Source organism: Homo sapiens, chromosome 6 (genome assembly GCF_000001405.40).
Source record: "Homo sapiens chromosome 6, GRCh38.p14 Primary Assembly".
Taxonomy (NCBI): domain Eukaryota; kingdom Metazoa; phylum Chordata; class Mammalia; order Primates; family Hominidae; genus Homo; species Homo sapiens.
In genome coordinates this window covers 89,775,524-89,796,656 of record NC_000006.12, presented here as the reverse complement: position 1 = coordinate 89,796,656, position 21,133 = coordinate 89,775,524, and the positions used below count along the sequence as shown (strand labels likewise).

The following is a 21,133-nucleotide window of genomic DNA, read 5'->3' as shown; positions in this document are numbered from 1 at the left end:
TACCCACACATCCATAGCCTCGCCATTATCAGCATCTCCCGTCAGAGTAGTGCATTTGTTAACATTGATGAGCCTACTCAAATTCCACCTGATTACATTAAGGTTCATTAGGATTAGTGTTAATTCTTCTTTTAATGTTTGGTAGAATTCCCTAGTGTAATCATCTAGCTTTTCTCTAGTGCAGTCTGGGCTTTTCTTTGGTAGGAGGTTTTTGATTACTGACTAAATCTCCTTACTAGTTACTTATTGGTCTGTACATATTTTCCATTTCTTTATAATGTTCAAAGTGTTTGGTTTTTTTTTTTGTTTTTTTTTTTTTTTTTTTTTTTTTTGAGACAGAGTTTTGCTCTTGTCGCCCAGGCTGGAGTGCAATGGCGCGATCTTGGCTCACTATAACCTCCGTGTCTCGGGCTCAAGTGATTCTCCTGCCTCAGCCTCCTGAGTAGCTGGGATTACAGGCATGCACCACCACACCTGGCTAATTTTGTGTTTTTAGTAGAGACGGAGTTTCACCATGTTGGCCAGGCTGGTCTTGAACTCCTTACCTAAAGTGATCTGCCTACCTCAGCCTCCCAAAGTGCTGGGATTTCAGGTGTGAGCCACTGTGCCTGGCCATGTTCAAAGTTTTAATAATATTTTTTATTTCCATGGCATTGGTTATATAATATGATGTCCCCCCCACCTTTATTGTTTGTTTGTTTTGAGACGGAATCTCACTGTGTCGCCCAGGCCTGAGAGCAGTGGTGCGATCTCGGCTCACTGCAACCTCCGCTTCCCGGGTTCAAGCGATTCTCCCGCCTCGACGTCCCGAATAGCTGGGATTACAGGCATGAGCCACCACCATGCCCGGCTAATTTTGTATTTTTAGTAGAGATGGGGTTTCACCATATTGGTCCAGCTGTCTAGAACTCCTGACCTCAGGTGATCTGCCCGCCTCAGCCTCCGAAAGTGCTGGGATTACGGGTGTGAGCCACCACACCCAGCCCTGTCTTTTATTTCTGATTTTAGTTTATTTGAATCTTTTTTTTCTTAATCTAGCGAAGGGTTTGCAGTTCATTTACTTATTTTGAGACAAGGTCTTGCTCTGTCATCCAGGCTGGAATGCAGTGGCACCTTCATAGTTCATTGTAACCTGGAACCTGGCAAATGATCTTCCAGCTTCAGGCTCCTGAATAGGCTTCAGGCTCCACCATACCCCACTAATTTTTTTTTTTTCTGTAGGAACAAGGTCTCACTATGTTGCCCAGGCTTGTCGTCTTCATTCATTAAGGTGTAACTTAAGCATCTCTTCTTGATTCTCCCCAGATTCAGTTGACTCGTGTGTGTATGTCTCTTAGCGTTTCTAAAAGTGGCTGTCTTCCTTACTAGACAGCAAACTCCTCAAGAAGAGTATCTATTTGGTTTTGAATCCCAGTTATTAAACTACAGTATCTGGCTCATAGAACTGAATAAATGTTTGTTGGAAATGAGTGCCTTTTCCGTTGTAAACACTTACATTAAGTACCCCCCGATTTTGTAGGTAATTACTTTAGATTTTTGTATCCTCTTAGTCAGAATTATCTCATGCCATTGTCCTGGTTCCTGAAATTGAACAGGATACAATTTTACGACTAAGTAGATTCAGCATTCATTCCCCTATGTTCTCAGACCCTTGGGAGTTCTGTTTTGTGGTTTGGTCAGAGTAGAGAATTGCGTTCTATGATATTCCCACCAATCAATGAAAATATAGATACTCCTTTTTGAAAATAGCTTAAGTTGAAAATGCATTTAATACTCTGATAAACCTATTACAAAGCAGAAAAATTAAGTCCAACCATTGTTAAGTTGGGGATGTCTGTATTCTTTGTGTTTGAAGGTTTGCCCTGAGATATTTCAAGGACACATCCCCAGTCTTTCAAAGACTTTTCCTAGAGAGTTCAGATGCTAATCCAGTACGCTATGGACGTAGGAGGATGAAGCTCCGGGACCTAATGGAAGCAGCCTTCAAGTTTCTGCAGCAGGAGCAGTCTGTGTTCCGGGAGCTCTGGGACTGGAGTGTGTGTGTCCCTCTCCTCAGAAGCCATGACACCTTGGTTCGCTGGTGCGTAGCTGTTAGACTTTTTTGCACTTCTAGTGTGGGGATGGTACAGGGCATGTGTGGAGTTGTGTGTGTCAGGAGGGAAAGGAAACCATTTAAAATTTGTTATTTTTGTTCTTGTGGCTTTTGGGGTTTTACTTCCTTTCTTTAATCATGTGTCATTGCAGAGGAAAATGAGATGATATGAATGGAGTTTCACCTTTTTCATGTTCCATCAAGTAAATCCATTGTGCCTGATTTGTATTTTCTGTTCTTAAATGTGTTGTAATAATTGAGATTTCCTTTTCTAGTGTTCAGTTGGCTAGTGGATTTTATTTATTCTTTATTATCAACTGCAGATAAACTGAATTTACATACTTTCTTTTTCCCTAGGTATACAGCCAATTGTCTTGCTTTGGTTACCTGTATGAATGAAGAGCACAAGTTATCATTTCTTAAGAAGATATTTAATAGTGATGAATTGATCCATTTCAGGTTGAGGTAAGCAGGAACCTTCGTGGAGGTCTTGCTATAGCATTTCTTTTTTTTTTTTCTTTTCTGGGGGTGACAGGCCAGAGGTGACTGCAGGTCTTGCGATAGCATTTCTGAGTGGTAAGGTAATTGACGAGACTCTCCTTTCTCTCAGGTTATTAGAAGAGGCCCAGTTGCAGGACTTGGAGAAGGCCTTGGTTTTGGCCAATCCAGAAGTCTCCCTTTGGCGTAAGCAGAAGGAGCTGCAGTACTTACAGGGACATCTTGTTTCGTCTGACCTCTCCCCTAGGGTGACAGCTGTTTGTGGTGTGGTGCTGCCTGGGCAGCTGCCAGCCCCTGGAGAGCTGGTATGTTGGTATCAGTAGGGGGTGTGTCCCCTTCCCCCTACTAAACACTGAGTGTGCTCTGTCTTTGGCTGGGTTCTATGTACCAGGTGTGAGCTAAATTTAGTTTGTTAAATTGCTGCTTCATTTTTGGAAGTTAAAAAGAAATTCATCTTGGGCTTTTCCCCTGATATTCCCACTGTTCTTGTTTTTATTTTTTGTTAATTTTTTAAATTGTAGAGACGGGGTCTCACTATGTTGTCTGTGCTGATCTGGAACTCCTGGACTCAAGGGATCATGCCACCTCAGTCTCCCAAAGTGTTGGGATTACAGGCGTGAGCCACTGCACCCAGCCTGTCCCTGTTTAATATGAAATTAGAAACTAATGGTTCCTGTGTGATGCCTTTAACTTGCGCGGAGCTGTTCCGTATATCTTCTTGTTTGCTTGCTGCAAAAACTGTGTGAAGTTCTGTAGCACATGTTACGATCCTATGTTGATGTAATTCAAAGGCAGAATTACTTGCTGGAGACCCTTGGACTGCTCTGTGGCAAAGACAGGCCTAGGTCTAGAGATGACTCCCAGCAGCCTCTTCTTTCAGAACTATCTCATTGTAGAGAGTCCAGTATCTAGTGAACTTCCTCTCTCCCATATGCAACAAGCTTCTTTCCACGAATGGCTTGAGACCATACTTGAACAGGCTTGCAGATCATAAGTCTGGCACTAGTGGGAGCCAGTCTCTTTTTCCATAGCAGTCTTCAGTCAGTTGTCACTTTGTCTGATGGTCAGGCTGTAGTGCAAGTGCAGTGGCAGAACCTCGGCTCACTGCAACCTCCCCCCTCCCAGGTTCAAGTGATTCTTCTGCCTCAGCCTCCTGAGTAGCTGGGATTACAGGTGCCTGCCACCATGCCTGGCTAATTTTTTGTATTTTTAGTAGAGACGGAATTTCACTATGTTGGCCAGCCTGGTCTCGAATGCCTGACCTCGTGACCCCCTGCCTCAGCGTGAGCCACTACACCCAGGCCACCCACTTTTCTTCTTGGAATAAGTTCTGGGTCATTTCTTGAACCCATCAGTTGGGTTCTGGTCAGTAGTAGTAAAAAAAAAAAAAAATTAAAATGTAATATACATATAGGAAAATGCACATTGTCATAAGTGTAGTCAGTGATTATTCATAAACTTCATATAAATAACACCAAACACCCAGTACTTCCAAAGCTCTTTGTGTTTTTTTCTAGTTGTGAAGACCCGTCCCCTTCCCTCCTCCCTCTTTACCCCCCACGTATCCTGTAACCAGTATCCCAACCTAGATTATGTTTAGGGCATTAGGATTTTAACATAGGGAAGGATTCTGGTTAGAATGGACCTGCTGTTGTTTAGCAGTGGGGACCCTGGGGCCAAAGCGCAGGGTAGAGTTGCGGTGCAGCCTGCCTGCTAAATTTATGAGAGGACAACCCTGAGGAAAGTTCAAGAGCTTCCAGCTCTGAATTTCTCATTTAATCCTCACGTATTTTTAGGGAACCAGCCATATTTGAGAACTTACTACCCCTTTAAGGTTATAAATCATTCCCCTTTTCCCCCATGTATATTGGATGCATTGTTATTATTAAACACATTTAAGGCCAGGCGCAGTGGCTCACGCTTGTAATCCCAGCACTTTGGGAGGCCGAGGCGGGCAGATCACGAGGTCAGGAGATCGAGACCATCCTGGCTAACATGGTGAAACCCCGTCTCTACTAAAAATACAAAAAAATTAGCCGGGCTTGGTGGCAGGCACCTGTAGTCCCAGCTACTCGGGAGGCTGAGGCAGGAGAATGGCTTGAACCCGGGAGGCGGAGCTTTCAGTGAGCCGAGATCGTGCCACTGCACTCCAGAGTGAGACTCTGTCTCAAAAAAAAAAAAAAAAAAAAAATTAAAAGTTTTGATACAACATTTACCATGTTAACATTTTTTACTTTACACGTTAGTTCACATTTTTTGTAGAGACAGAGTCTCACTATGTTGCCCAGCCTAGTCTTGAACTCTTAACCTCAAGCCATCCTCCCTCCTCAGCCTCCCAAAGTGCTGGGATTACAGGTGTAAGCCACCACATCTGACTGAGAATGTTTTTGTCTTACAAAGCTGAAATTCTTTCTCATTAAACTTACTGGGTGTGTTTTAATATTCTTTTTTACTTTTTGTTACAGAAAATGTCGCACATATTCCAAAGTAGAAAGAATGGTATAGTGAATACCCATGGACCTGATAGACCTGGGTATTCAATAATTATCAATTACATTTCATTTATATTTCTGCATGACTACCTCACATTATATTACTTAGAAGCAAATACCAGGCATCATAGTATTTTATATGAAAATATTTCAGTATATATCTCTAAAGGAGGCAAACTTTAAAAATCCCTGCTATTGTTATTATACCTAAAAAAAAATTACAACATAAGATATCCTCTCAGTGTCCATATTTCCCTGATTGTCTTCTAAATGTATTGTGTATATTTGTGATCTTAGATGGGAAATCCTAGAATATGGGGAAAGGAATAAAAGAAAAATCCAACAGTAATAGATGAGGTTTGCTCTTCCCTACCTTTGTGCATCAGCTTTTTTGGCTACTTAAACTTTGGAAGATTTTCTTACATTTGCCAACAAATTCTGATTCCCTACTTCCCATGGAATACCCCCACCATCCCTCACCCCCAATAAAAATGGAAAGAAAAAAAAATCAGATCCTTGCTTTATTTTTATTTTTATTTATTTATTTATTTTGAGGCGGAGTTTCACTCTTGTTGCCCAGCTGGAGTGCAGTGGCACGATCTTGGCCCACTGCAACCTCCGCCTTCTGGGTTCAAGTGATTCTTCAGCCTTAGCTTCCCGAGTAGCTGGGATTACAGGCATATGCCACCATGTCCAGCTAATGTTTTTGTAATTTCAGTAGAGATGGTGTTTCACCACGTTGGCCAGGCTGGTCTCGAACTCCTGACTTCAGGTGATCCACCTGCCTTGGCTTCACAAAGTGCTGGTATTACAGGCTTGAGCCACCACACCTGGCCCTTTGCTTTATTTTTAAAAATTTATTTATTTTTCTAGAGTCGGGGTCTCTGTGTCACCCAGGCTGGAGTGCAGTGGTGTGATCATGGCTTACTATCCTTGAACTCCTGGGATGAAATGATACTGCCACCTCAGCACTTCCAGTAGCTGAGACTATGGGCATGGGCCACAATGCCCATGAGATCTTTAGATGACATACCTGTTGTTATTATAGTTTTGGTACTACTAATTTACTTACAGAGGTTTGTGTAAGGTTAGTAGAAGGCTTACTGTGGAAATTAACTTCGGTTCCTTGGGGGAAGAACTCTTCTTGACATGGCTTTTGTCTTGCCTCTTTAGGGTGGTAATAGGAGTTCTTCACGTGAACAGGAGCTGGCCCTTAGGTCTTATGTGCTGGTTGAGTCTGTCTGCAAAAGTCTTCAGACCCTGGCTATGGCGGTTGCTTCTCAGAATGCTGTGTTGTTGGAAGGACCAATAGGATGTGGCAAAACTTCCTTAGTTGAATATTTAGCTGCAGTGACAGGTAGAACAAAGCCTCCTCAGCTTCTCAAAGTCCAGCTTGGAGATCAGACTGACAGTAAGGTAATAAGGAAATGTTAAGTTTTGGTGGCTTGTCATGCTTGTAAATATTTGCATTAAAATATTGCTTTTGCTAAGGGAATATAACAATAGTTATTGGTCTTGCTTATAACTGTTGGGGCCAACCTATGTAAACCTCAAGTGCCTACTTACTTACACCTACCTATAGAAGATTAACAGTTAATCAAAGGATGTAGCATTGCCACTACAGGTATGGTTTTTCAGTAATTACTTTATCTTCTTTCTGCAGATGCTTTTGGGGATGTATCGCTGCACAGATGTTCCTGGAGAGTTTGTGTGGCAGCCTGGCACCCTGACACAGGCAGCCACAATGGGCCACTGGATCCTTCTGGAGGATATTGACTATGCCCCCTTAGACGTGGTATGTCATCTCAGGAAATTCATTGTCCCTTAATATATTTTCCTGTCTTGGAAAAGCATTTTGTTAATAGTGATTCTGGTGATGATTTAAACAAAAATGTATTTGATTAGACGTACTATGTTGCAGGTACTTCATGGTTACTTACCTGATCTGATTTGCGGTCCTGAATTACTTGACTGGTTTCTTGTTTGATAGAGATTTTCTATAAAATTTTGGTTGTGCTGTTTCCTATAGTAGTTGAATATGTGACCAGTTTCATAGTAGTATTTTCCTCCCTTAATTGAATATGAGATCAACATTTTCCAAGAACAGGTCTGGTTTGGAACATCTCAGCCATGTTACATGTACATTGAGAACTTTGAGATCCTGCTTCTTAGTGGTGGCAGCTACAGAGGAGTGGGCTGAGGACAGGTGAAGGAGGAGATGATGTAATAAGAGTGTGCTTGCCTTTGTTTAGTTAAGAAAAATATGCTGGATTTGTATTTTGGTTTGTAAAAAGACCACTTCTGTGTGTAAGAAATTAGCCATTGAGACAATCCATGTTGCCTTTGTATTCTGAAAAGTGACAAAAAATGTATTGCAGGATGAAATATTCTTCCTTTGGACAGAGTTTTCCCGAGATTGGTTTTAATTTTCTTTTTCTTTTTTTTTTTTGTGAGACAGAGTCTTGCTCTGTTGACCCGGCTGGAGTGCAGTAGCACGATCTCGGCTCACTGCAGCCTCCGTCTCCCGGGCTCCAGCAATTCTCCTGCCTCAGCCTCCTGAGTAGCTGGGATTACAGGCATGTGCCACCATGGCCGGCTAATTTTTGTATTTTTAGTAGAGACGGGGTTTCACCATGTTGGCCAGGCTGGTCACGAACTCCTGACCTCGTGATCTGCCTGCCTCAGCCTCCCAAAGTGCTGGGATTACAGGCGTGAGCCACCGCGCCCGGCCTTCCTTACCTCTTTATTCTGTTCTTATCCCATTGTCTTAGCACTGGCTTATTTTGTCTACCTATCTCTCTTGCCTTTGTTACCTGAATAGTGTCCTTTTTGGCCGTTTTTCCTCTAGTCTAGCTCCTTTCCAAATTGCTACACAGTTGATTTTCTAAAATAAAAAATGGAATTATTTCTTTTCTTCTCAGCCTAAAAGCCTCTCGATAACTCTTATGAAAAAGTTCAAAGCCCTTAGCTCAGCACAGGAGGCCTTTTATTACTTACCTCTAAGCCTTACATCTTTCTGCTGCTTCTTACTGCACATTCTACCCTACACATAACAGAATTCTTGTGCCATGGCTTTTAGGTTTATCAGTTTTTTAAAAATACACTTGCATACTTCTGCCTGAAGTGTATGTACCATTTCTGTTTCACCAAACCTGGTTAATTTCTGCTCATTCTTCTTTAAGGTTTAGCAAATGTCACTACCTCTGGGAAGACTTCACTGCCCTGCTTCTAAATCATTCTATCCTGATTCAGAACCCCCTGTATCTTTATATATGACTTTGTATACTCCTGGGGTACACTGATTATGCTGTGTGGGAATTTGCATGCCTGCCCTCTCCCATCAGCCTCTAGGCTCTAAAGCCTTGGTCCTGTCTGTATTCTTGTGTCTTGCTTGGTTGTGATCCACAGGAGGCACTCGTGAATGTCGAGTGTGTAAATTGTGCTGGAGTGTAGGTGATTCAGACGTTCCCACCTGCATACTGACCCCAGTTTGGACTATGAGAGCTGACGTTTCCTTTAAGGGTGTGTCTGTCATTTTGAGAGAGGGTTGTTTTGTTTTGATTATTTCTGTCTTAATAGCTTTACTTTATCAGTGCGGTTGTTGTTATCTGATTTAGGTTTCTGTGCTGATCCCTCTCTTGGAGAATGGAGAGCTCTTGATTCCTGGCCGAGGTGACTGTCTGAAAGTGGCACCTGGATTTCAGTTTTTTGCAACCAGGAGGTATGTACTAGTAACCTTTCTGTTTTCACTCTGGAGCCACTTACTCGTAAGTCTGCATGCTGAGCCAGAGGTCCTGTAATAGAGTTCTCTGGGTCTACTTCAAGCAAGGTTAGTTGGAAGTGATAACAGGTCTAACCTTCTCATTCCTGATTATTTTTAATGAAGATAATTTATAAAATAAGAGGTCCCCCCCCCGACTTAAAAATAAGTAACCAGTTTAAAACACTTCACCTTATTTCATGTTTTAAAAAATAATCAGAGGTGAGGTTATTGTTAGATAGCCCAGGGTTTGAGTCCTGACACTGCTACTTAGTACCTATGTATACCTTGGCTGGTTATGATGGGGTTAATAATACCTTCTTCAAATGGTGGCTGTAAAGAATAAGTGAAATGACTTGTACTAAAGACCTGTCACAATAAATGCCCAGTTAATGGCTAGCCATGATGGTGATAATGATAGGTAGATTTCAGGCAATTGAAAAATTAATTGGATATAAGCATGAACAAAGGCACAAAAACTGAGCGTGCTTAGTATATATTCCTGCCTACATTTTAAAATTACCTGAAGGCAGTGGTTTATTTCTTACTGCTAGTCTATACCTGCACAGCTTCTTCAATGTCTTTAAATGCCCATGAGTGAAACTAACATCATTCTATAGTTAATGATTATATTAGTGTTTACCTCAGTTAACATTGACTTCTGCATGGAGTGTGGAGCTAACCCGATAGTATTCAAGGAATACCTCCCTAGACCCAATTACTCTTTTTTTTTTTTTCTTGAAATGGGGTCTCACTGTGTTGCCCAAGCTGGTCTTGAACTTCTGTACTCAAGCAGTCTTCCCAGCACAGCCTCCCAAGTAGCTGAGACTACAGGCACATGCCACTGTGCCCAGCTGACCCTGTTACTTTTTTTTTTTTTTTTTTTTTTTGAGATGGAGTCTCATTCTGTCACCCAGGCTGGAGTGCAGTGGTGTGATCTTGGCTCACTGCAACCTCCACCTCCTGGGTTCAAGCGATTCTCCTACCTCAGCCTGCCAGGTAGCTGGGATTACAGGCACCTGCCACCACACGGGCTAATTTTTGTATTTTTAGTAGAGACGGGGTTTCACCATGTTGGCCAGGCTGGTCTTGATCTCCTGACCTCATGATCCTCCGCCTTGGCCTCCTGATGTGCTGGGATTACAGGCGTGAGCCACCGTGCCCGGCCCAATCCTGTTACTTTTGTTTTAAACATTTATTTATTTTTTAGAGACAGTGTTTTGCTTTGTACCCAGGCTGGAATGCAGTGGCTTGATCGTAGCTTACTGTAACCACAAACTCCTGGGCTCAAGTGATCCTCCTGCCTCAGCCTCTTGAGTAGCTAGGACTACAGGGGTACACCACCATGCCTGGCTAAAAACAAATTTTTTTTATTATTATTATTATTTTAGAGATGGAATCTTGCTGCATTGCCCAGGTTGGTCTTGAACTCCTGGACTCGAGCAGTCCTCCCACTGTGGCCTCCTAAGTGTTGGAATGACAGGCATGAGCCACTGTACCTGGCACTGTTAGTTTTGATAGACCTTGATTTTTTATTTTATTTAATTAATTTTTTTTGAGACCGAGTCTCACTCTGTCATCCAAGCTGGAGTGCAGTGGCATGATTTGGCTCACTGCAACCTCTGCCTCCCGGGTTCAAGCGATTCTCGTGCCTCAGTCTCCCAGGTATCTGGGACTACAGGCACGCACCACGCCTGTCTAATTTTTGTGTTTCTAATAGAGATGGGGTTTTGCCATGTTGCCCAGGCTGGTCTTGAACTTCTGGCCTCAAGCAATCCACCTGCCTCAGCCTCCCAAAGTGCTGGGAGGTGTGAGCCACCACACCTGTCTTATTTTATGTTTTTTTAGAGATGAGGCCTCAATTTGTTGCCCAGGCTGGTCTTGAACTCCTGGGCTCAAGCGATCTTCCTGCTTTGGCCTCCCAACGACCGACATGAGCCACTGAGCCTGGCTGACCTTGATTTTATTTATAGAGATAGTGAAGTTCTTCCCTGGTAGATTCAAACACTTCCCAGAAAGACCTGGGACATCGTGGAAAGATGTTAGACAAACTTGTGATCTGATAAACTTGAATTCAATTTTCAGTTCTGCCATTTTCAGTCACAGTTGAGTGTATAAGGGCCATTCTTTCCTTCTCTTCCATTTATGTCAGAAGAAAAGAATGGCATCTTCCTCTCGGGACAGTTGTGAGGACTAAGTGGCCTATGCATAAGCATGTACCTTCCCCAGAGTGTATGTTTAATGTATATTCCTTCTCTACTTTTTTCTCTTCTGGAAATTTTTAATGGTTTTCAAGTACTGTAGCTTCTGGTAACAAGCAGTGAACTTAATGTTAATGCTATGAGCCTTGGATTATGCTTTCTCTTTCCTGAAGTTATTTATGCCTTAAGGAAGAGGAACCTGTCATTGAAATAAAAACATTTACCTTGTAGAATTATTTGCAGTGATTTGAAAATATTTGGTTAAAGCACTATCACTACTACTTAGGAGAAGAGCCAAACATGGGTTAACTGTCAGCCTTTCATTTGTCATCTGCCCTGTAAGCCCAACAGTGTAGTATCTGGAAACAGAAGGGATTATGAATATTTTTCCTATGTGAGACAGTGTACAGCAAGTAATATCCAGAGGCACAATTCAGGATTAAAATTTGGAATTTTGTGTGACTGTGTTTTTTATTTTGAAACGTAGACTCTTGAGCTGTGGAGGAAATTGGTATCGACCGCTAAACAGTCATGCTACTTTGCTAGACAAATATTGGACCAAAATTCACCTGGATAACCTGGATAAGAGAGAACTGAATGAGGTACGTGGGTCTTGGAAAGTATCAATGCTGGCCAGGTGCAGTGGCTCCCGCGTGAAATAGGAAATAGTATAATAAACCACCAGAACCCTCATCAACCTAAATTTTGCAGTCTGTGTGCTAGTATTTTACTGTATTTGCTTCATCTGTTATTTTTTCTGGGCTAATATATTTGAAAGCAAACTCCCAGCATACATCTCTTAAAATTTAATGGCATTTTCATATATAACCACAATAACATTATTATACACAATAAAATGAACAGTAATTCCTCAGTATCATTGAATTCTTAGATTATATTCAAATTTTCCCAGTTGTCTACAGAGGATCATTTTACTAAGTTGATTTGAAGTAATGTCTTTCACACTTAATGGACATTTTGATCTAGGCATTAATGAGAATTGAGGTAAATCACTTTATAGGTTTTCTACATTGATTCAGTTTCTAGTATTGTGGTTATCCTAGATCAGTAAGAAGTATATTACACTTGACTCCGTTCATGCCCCACTTCCCTTTTATGTCTCACTTGGAAGATTTCCCTTCCCCAGTGCTTTATCTAGGAGAGTGGCAGACAAAGCATTGTCAGTGGTCATTCAGACATGGAAGAGATGCTTTTCCCTTTATTGATGTAGGTATATAGGTAAATATGTGACACCAAACAAACTTCAATCTTTTATTTTTATTTTATTTTATTTTTTTTTAAACAGTTTCGCTCTTGTTGCCCAGGCTGGAGTGCAATGGCGTGATCTTGGCTCACTGCAATCTCTGCCTCCTGGTTCAAGCAATTCTCATGCCTTAGCCTCCCAAGTACCTGGGATTACAGGTGCCCACCACCACTTTTGGCTATTTTTTTTGTATTTTTAGTAGAGATGGGGTTTCACCATGTTGACCAGGCTGGTCTCAAAACACCTGACCTCAGGTGACCTGCCTGCCTTGGCCTCCTAAAGTGTTGGCATTATAGGTGTGAGCCACTGTGCCTGGCCACAAACTTCAAATATTTTTTCCTACATTTTCTTTTCTTTTTTTTTTTTTTGAGATGGAGTCTTTTTATGTCGCCCAGAACAGTACTCTGTGGCACGATCTTGGCTCGCTGCAACCTCCGCCTCCCATATTCAAGCGATTCTCCTGCCTCAGCCTCCCGAGTAGCTGGTGCATGCCACTATTGGGGTAACCCACCCCCAATATTACAACATAGGTTCTTTCTATTTTCCATAAGTGTTGGCTGGCTGAGAAATAAAGAGAAAGAGTACAAAGAGAGGAATTTTACAGCTGGGCTGTCTGGGGTGGCATCACATATTGGTAGGACCGTGATGCCCACCTGAGCTTCAAACCAGCAAGTTTTTTAAGGGTTTCAAAAGGGGAGGGGGTGTAAGAACAGGGAGTGGGTACAAAGATCACATGCTTCAAAGGGCAAAAAGCAGAACTACTAATAAGGGTTTATCAAAGATCACAAGGCAAAAGGCATAAAGCAGAACTACTGATAAGGGTCCAACAAAGATCACAAGGCAAAGGGCAAAAGCAGAACTACTGATAAGGCTCTATGTTCAGCGGTGCACGTATTGTCTTGATAAACATCTTAAACAACAGACCGGTCTGACCACAAATTTACCAGGGCGGAGTTTTTTCCCCACCCTAGTAAGCCTGAGGGTACTGCAGGAGACCAGGGTGTATCTCGGTCCTTATCTTAACCGCATAAGACAGGCATTCCCAGAGCGGCCATTTATAGACCTCCCCCCCGGGAATGCATTCCTTTCCCGGGGTATTAATATTAATATTCCTTGCTAGGAAAAGAATTTGGCAATATCTTCCCTACTTGCACATCTGTTGATAGGCTCTCTCTGCAAGAAGAAAAATATGGCTCTTTTTGCCTGACCCTGCAGGCAGTCAGACCTTATGGTTGTCTGTCCTTGTTCCCTAAAAATCGCTGTTATTCTGTTCTTTTTCAAGGTGCACTGATTTCATATTGTTCAAACACACATGTTTTATGATCAATTTGTACAGTTAACACAGTTGTCACAGTGGTCCTGAGGTGACGTACATCCTCAGCTTATGAAGATAACAGGATTAAGAGATTAAAGACAGGCATAAGAAATTATAAAAGTATTATTTGGGAACTGATACATGTCCATGAAATCTTCGCAATTTATTTTCCTCTGCCGTGGCTCCAGCTGGTCCCTCCATTTGGGGTCCCTGACTTCCCGCAACATGCCACCATGCCCAGCTAATTTTTTAATTTTTAGTAGAGACAGGGTTTCACCATGTTGGCCAGGTTGGTCTCGATCTCTTGACCTTGTGATCCACTCACCTCAGCCTGCCAAAGTGCTGGGATCACAGGCGTGAGCCACCACGCCCAGCTTAACTGATTTTATATCTTATTATTATTATTATTATTATTATTATTATTATTATTTTTTGAGGAAAGGTCTTACTCTGTCACCCAGGCTAGAGTGCAGTGGTGCACTGCAGTGGTGCTCAGCTCACTGCAGCCTCAACCTCTCAGGCTTAGGTGATCTTCCCAGCTCAGCCTGCCAGGTACCTGGGACTGACTACAGGTGTGTGCCACCCTGCCCAGCAAATGTTTTGTAGAGACAGGTTTTCACCGTGTTGCCCAGGCTTGTCTCAAACTCTTGGACTCAGGCAATCTGCCCACATCAGCTTCCCAAAGTGCTGGGATTGCAGGTGTGATCCACTGTACCCTGCTCCTTTTACATGCTTTTCATTGAGAAATTACATAATGGCCTTACCAGAGCTGTGTTTGAAATTAAATAGTAATTTAAGAATTCTTTAATGAATAAATTCTTTAGAGTTGGTTGCTTATATTTTGGTTACTTGGAGAACCTTTTAACATGACTTCTACCGCTGAAACTGTATTGTAGATGGTGAGATTGCTGGTAACTGAGTTCTGGGTAGGAAGAAAATCATCATGATTGAGTGAAATAGGTGGGTGGGAACAGGAGTGAGTAAGGGGGAAGTTCTTATTTTTGGTAAAGTTGACAAAATTTCTTTTCATTTTTATTTTTATGTTTTATTTATTTACGTTTTTTGAGACAGGGTCTTGTTCTGTCACCTAGGCATGATCACTGCTCACTGCAGCCTTAACCTCCCAGTCTCAGATGATCCTCCCTGCTCAGCCTGCTGAGTACCTGGGACTACAGGCACACGGCACCGTGCCCATGTTTGTATTTTTTGTAGAGATGATGTTTCACCATGTTGCCCAAGTTGATCTCAAATCCTGAATTCAAGCAATTCCTCTGCCTTGGTTTCTCAGAGTGTTGGGATTACAGGTGTGAGCTACCGTCCCCCAGTGAACAAATTTCATAGAGAAATACAATTTTTGGCTGACCAGTTTCAGCAGTAGTTTGTGTGCTTTCAAAAATTACCATGCTGGCTGTTAAATTTTCTTTTTTTTCCCCCTCTGTCAGGTTCTTCAGAGCAGATATCCTAGCCTATTGGCAGTGGTTGATCACCTGCTTGACATTTATATCCAACTTACTGGAGAGAAACATCACTCTTGGAGTGATAGTTCTGTTGGATGTGAACAGGCACCTGAAGAAGTTTCAGAAGCCAGAAGAGAAAACAAAAGACCAACCCTTGAGGGAAGAGAATTATCTCTAAGGTACTGGACTAAACAGTTTTTTCTTTTCTTTCTTTCTTTTTTTTTTGTGAGACAGATTCCTGCTCTGTTACCCAGGCTGGAGTGCAGTGGTGCAGTTTTGGCTCACTCCAACCTCCGCCTCCTAGGTTCAAAGTTCTTACCAGCTAGAAGTAAATAGTCAGGTTTTGAAATTATAGGTTGCTTCATGGTGTCAGATCCCTTTTTCAGATTTATAATTAATGACTGGGAAGGCTCGATTAGGGTAATGTTTTTAACTTTAAAAAATAACTTTTAAAGACCAACTTGGGAGTGGCTCCTAACATAATTCTTTCACTGAATGCCCTTTTCTGACACTTGGAGTCTTAAATAAGTCTTCTTGGATTTCGCTATCTATGACTTCTGTGCCACTCTGTGTTCTCAGTGGTTGACTTCCCCTTTGAGAAGTGAGAATTAGAAATGGGCATCTCCTCAGGCTAGGCGCGGTGGCTCACGCCTGTAATCCCAGCACTTTGGGAGGCCGAGGTGGGCGGATCATGAGATCAGGAGTTCGAGACCATCCTGGCCAACATGGTGAAACCCCATCTCTACTAAAAAAAAAAAAAAATACAAAAATTAGCCAGGCACGGTGGCAGGTGCCTGTAATCCCAGCTACTCGGGAGGCTGAGGCAGAGAATTGCCTGAACCCGGGTGGAGGTTGCAGTGAGCCGAGATCACGCACTGCACTCCAGCCTGGGCAACAGAGTGAGACTCTGTCTCCAAAAAAAAAAAAAAAAAAAAAGGAAATGGCATCTCCTCATTCTGATCTGATTGGTTGCTCCCCTCCTTTCCTGCTACCTTGTCTGGCATGGATGGCAGAGAGTAATGAGTTGGTAGGTCACTTCCTGGAATGGGTGAAGATTGGGAACTCTTTTTGTTTTGTTTTTAAATTTTACACACAAATACAAAGAGGGGAAGGATTGAGAACCCTTACTGGTTTCCCAAATACCTTTTATCTAAGCATTGTCAGAAGAAAGAAGAAAGTTATCAGGTATGCCCAGACTTAAGTGGGTCAATAAATTCTGATGCCTTTGATGTCTTTGGCCTGTGGTCTTTTCTTTGTTTTTTCTTTTCTTTCTTTTTTTTAAAGGGATCTGCTGAATTGGTGTAATAGGATTGCCCATAGCTTTGACAGTTCATCTTTATCAGCATCATTAAATATTTTTCAAGAGGTAAGATATAGTTTTCCAGTCTTTTTTGTCTTGGTTCTGTAAGGCTGTTGACTTCCGTTGTTATTTTCTGTCTTTTGATTGCCATCAGACTTTTTTCTTTTTTCCAAGTATGGTTTGTTATTCTTTTTTTGTTTTTTTTTTTTGAGACGAAGTCTCTCGCTCTTGTCCCCAAGGCTGGAGTGCAGTGGCGTGATCTCAGGTCACTGCAGCCTCCACCTTCTGGGTTCAAGCGATTCTCTTGCCTCAGCCTCCCGAGTAGCTGGGGTTACAGGCACCTGCCACCACCCCTGGCTAATTTTTGTATTTTTAGTAGAAACGAGGTTTCACCATGTTGGCCAGGCTGGTCTCGATCTCCTGACCTCAAGTGATCCACCCACGTCGGCCTCCCAGAGTGCTGGGATTACAGGCGTGAGCCACCGCACCCGGCCTGGTTTGTTATTCTTAGCTAGTTAAAACTCAACTAACGTGGCATTAAAGCTAATTGAATGTAATACATGTTTTGTGGTTTTTGAAACAAATTATTATTAATTTCAGAAGAAGTATAGTTTGATATAGAGTAAAACAGGTAGTGAAATTAAAGGTAAAATGAAAGAAACTCCCGGGTAATAATAAAGCAATGTTTGTTCCTACATATAATTTCTTAGTCTGTTTGATAAATTTGTAACTATCCGATCCCTCTACTTTTCTCAGTAGGGCTGGTTGATGTTGGTTGACTGAACCTCTTTGTAAGACACCATAAATCCAGGATGGGTTTCTGATGAGGGTGGTGGACTCTTCTGACTAATTCATCTGGGGTCCATTGTTATTATCTATGATGGGAGCATGTATGTGCACAGGACTTAACCATTCTAGTGGATATTATTACAGAAGACCAAATCATAGCGGTAAAGGTGGAATAAGAACAAAAGGAGTTGGATGTTCTTTTAGAAGTAACTCTTTTAAACTATACTATGGTAACCAGAGGAATTGTTCTCTTCTACTCTAAAATATATTTCTACTGAATTTGAGACCAGCCATTTCAAATGAGTAGGGTATATTCTTTTGAGAACTGGCAAATTGTTTTTGTCCAGCTCTTTTCCCCCCTTATTCCATGCAGACCAAATACCTTTATGAAATATCAGGTATTAGGTATTATAATTTGTATTAGGTATTATAAATAACCTGGAGATTTAAATAAAGAAGGTGTGCATAGATTATATGCAGATTCTACACCTGTAAAATTTTTTTTTTCTTTGGCTTATTTTAGTACATACTGACACAGGCCCTATACCTTTTTTTTTATTTATTTATTTATTTATTTATTTATTTATTTATTTATTTATTTTTGAGACATAGTCTCGCTCTATTACCCAGGCTGGAGTGCAGTGGCGTGATCTCGGCTCACTGCAAGCTCCACCTCCCAGGTTCCCACCATTCTCCTGCCTCAGCCTCCCGAGTAACTGGGACTACAGGCGCCCACCACCACACCCAGCTAATTTTTTTTGCATTTTTAGTAGAGATGGGGTTTCACCCTGTTAGCCAGGATGATCTCGATCTCCTGACCTCGTGATCCACCCACCTCAGCCTCCCAAAGTGCTGGTATTACAGGTGTGAGCCACTGCGCCCAGTCACCCTATGCCATTTTATATAAGGGACTTGAGCATCTTCAGATTTTGGTTTCCGTGAGAGGTCCTGGAATCAATCCCCCAGGAATATGTAGGGATAACTGTATTATAATAGTAAATCCTGTATTTTTAATATTAATGTTTGTAACTTTAGATTTCTGGGTATAAGTTTTCCTGCTTATTACTGAATTTTAGGGGTGCCATTATTTGGGTCTTTTTGCATCTTGTAAACTGACTTTACTTAGAATTATGGCTTTAAAATATATTTTAATTTTAAAAGGACTAGATTCTTCTTGTTAAAAAACAATAGAAAAGATGATGGAAGAAACTTAACTACTAACTCTACCACTGAGACGAAAGCAATTTGCAGTATTGGGGGCCTGTTTTCTCTTTTTTTTTTTTTTATTAGTTGAGACAATACTGTATATTAAGTGTTGTATTCTGAGTATTTCAACTGTCAGGACAAAAATATAAAATACTTTTAAAAAGGATGAAAAAATAGATCAGATTGTAACGGCCCAACAGGTTCACCTTGCCCACTGCCTAGACAGAGACAATTTATCATGACGGAATTTGCAATAAAGTAATTCACACAGAGCCTGCTGTATGGGAGACCAGTTTTATTATTACTCAAAGCAGTCTTCAAGAGAGCTTAATGAATACTAGGCTAGCCATATGGGAAATGGAATTGTTACTCAAATCAATCTCCCTGTTAACTCAGAAGCTAGGGTTTTTATGGATAATTTGGTGGGCAGGGTACTAGGGAATGGGTGCCTGCTGATTGGTTGGGGATGAACTCATAGGGATGTGGAAAATGGTCTTGTATACTGAGTCTACTTCTGGGTGGGGTAACTGAGTCAGGTGGGGTTAGTTAGTTGCTGGAATGCAAAAATCTGAAAATCACCTCAAAAGGCCAATTTTAGTTTCTACGATAGTGGTGTTATCTATAGGAGCAGCTGGGGAAGTCACAAGTCTTGTGACCTCTGGCCACATGACTCCTGAGCACTAAGGGATTATAGAAACTACACCTACATTTTAGCAGAATTCAGGCCCCTCCCATAATCCTAATCTTGTGGTCTTTCATTAGGTTTCGGTCCCTGAGCAAAGAGGGGGTTAGTTTTAGGAAGGGACTATTATCATCCTTGCTTCCAAGTTAAACTATAAACTAAATTCCTACTATGGTTAGCTTGGCCTATGCCTAGGAATGAGTGAAGATGGCCAGCCTATGAGGCTTAGAAGTAAGATGGAGTCAGCCATGTTAGATTGCTCTGTCATAATCTTTGCAAAGGTGGTTTCAATCCCACACTCATGGTGTCCTTTACATTGTTTTATCTCTCATATTTTCTGTAAATAGAAAATACAAAAAATGCTTGATGAATTCAAGTTTAACATATTTGGGGTACAGTCCATTTTTGGTGGTATTTTATATTTCATCACATCAGAAGACATAACTGGTTGGCTCACTGGTAGTTGCTAAGATTGAGTACTAGGTTAAGATAATGACCATGAGGTATTGCACACCTAGTGTTTCCCTTGCAGTTAGAAAGCAGTCTTTTGATATTACCTCAGCACTATATGAGTCAGTTCTCCTTGAACCATGTACCCAGTGGTCAACACTAATTGCTCTTCTTTGCCCGAAGCTAGGATTTGCAAAGTGGGGTGTTTTGTTGTTTGTTTTTTTTATTTGGCAAGTATTTCAATAGTCAATTATTTATATTTATTGGTGTCCTGTCTTTCCATTATGGTCAGGTCCTCAGTCCTGGGTTGGTACCTTATTTGCACTCCCTTCATTTTTAGAGAAATGTTCCTGCTGGATTTTGTGTTTCTCCCTCTTGTGGCCAGGAAAATGATGTTCTGTGATTAATATATTATTTTAAAAATCAGTCAGCATTTACCTTGGTTATTTTAATAGGCTCTAGACTGTTTCACAGCAATGCTTTCTGAGCATACAAGCAAACTGAAAATGGCAGAAGTTATTGGAAGCAAATTGAACATTTCTAGAAAAAAGGTATGTGTGCTGTTTTTTTACTTCCCTGTTGAAAGGAGGCTAGGATTTTTTGCTTGCTTGCTTGCTGGTCTCTAGTCCTTAGTTGGAACAGCTTTTGCAGTGGTACCTCTTTTGTAAAAGTTGGTGCTTTTATTGCAGCCTCTCGTGGGCATACAACTCCCAAATGGCGCGAGTGCAATGGCGCCATCTCGGCTCACCACAACCTCTGCCTCCTAGGTTCAAGTGATTCTCCTGCGTCAGCCTCCTGAGTAGCTGGGATTACAGGCATGTGCCACCACACCCAGCTAATTTCGTATTTTTAGTAGAGATGGGGTTTCTCCATGTTGGTCAGGCTGGTCTCAAACTCCTGACCTCAGGTGACCCACCAGCCTCTGCCTCCCAAAGTGCTGGGATAACAAGCATGAGCCACTGTGCACAGCCATGTTCCACATTCTTAAAAGGAGCTTCCTCATGTCCTGTGTCGTCTTCAGTGTTTTAGTGAGCATTTATTTTATTTTGTAGGCATTAGACTCAGGAATGTAACTATGTTTTAGTAATACCTTTGTCTATAACTTAATGCAGAGTTTTTCCATCTTTTTTATTATTTTCCCTTATTAGAAAAATTGGCAAGAGACTGAGTGTGGTGGCTCACACCTGTAATCCCAGGACTTTGGGAGGCAGAGGTGGGTGGATCACCTGAGGTCGGGAGTTTAAGACCAGCCTGGCCAACACTGTGAAACCCTGTCTTTACTAAAAAAATACAATAAATTAGCTGGGTGTGGTGGCACATGCCTGTAATCCCAGCTACTCGGGAGGCTGAAGCAGGAGAATCACTTGAACCTAGGAGGCAGAGGTTGCAGTGAGCCAAGGTTGTGCCACTGCACTCCAACGTGGGCGACAGATCCAGACTCTTTCTCTGATAAAAACCAACCAAACAAACAAAAAAAAAAGTTGCAAAGAGTAGTAGCAGTGAATACCTGTATACTCACTACTTTGTTTCATTGCTGACATTGTTAATATTTTGCCATTCTTGTTTTATGTCAAAATACGTATTTTGGGAGGAGGGATCCTTTCAGCAGTGGCACTGGTGTCTAGAA

General features: G+C 41.7%; 1 protein-coding gene across 1 annotated transcript in view; it reads left to right on the top strand.

The window, feature by feature from the left end:
- The window catches only part of MDN1 (midasin AAA ATPase 1), a 177,297-nt gene that overhangs the window by 23,138 nt on the left and 133,026 nt on the right, over positions 1 to 21,133 (top strand). Inside the window, exons 3-12 of the mRNA NM_014611.3 lie at positions 1,856 to 2,080; positions 2,450 to 2,557; positions 2,703 to 2,895; positions 6,256 to 6,498; positions 6,746 to 6,877; positions 8,700 to 8,803; positions 11,531 to 11,645; positions 15,065 to 15,258; positions 16,364 to 16,445; positions 19,962 to 20,057. Coding sequence (NP_055426.1) covers positions 1,856 to 2,080; positions 2,450 to 2,557; positions 2,703 to 2,895; positions 6,256 to 6,498; positions 6,746 to 6,877; positions 8,700 to 8,803; positions 11,531 to 11,645; positions 15,065 to 15,258; positions 16,364 to 16,445; positions 19,962 to 20,057 — 1,492 coding nt within the window. The remainder of the gene's footprint in view (positions 1 to 1,855; positions 2,081 to 2,449; positions 2,558 to 2,702; positions 2,896 to 6,255; positions 6,499 to 6,745; positions 6,878 to 8,699; positions 8,804 to 11,530; positions 11,646 to 15,064; positions 15,259 to 16,363; positions 16,446 to 19,961; positions 20,058 to 21,133) is intronic.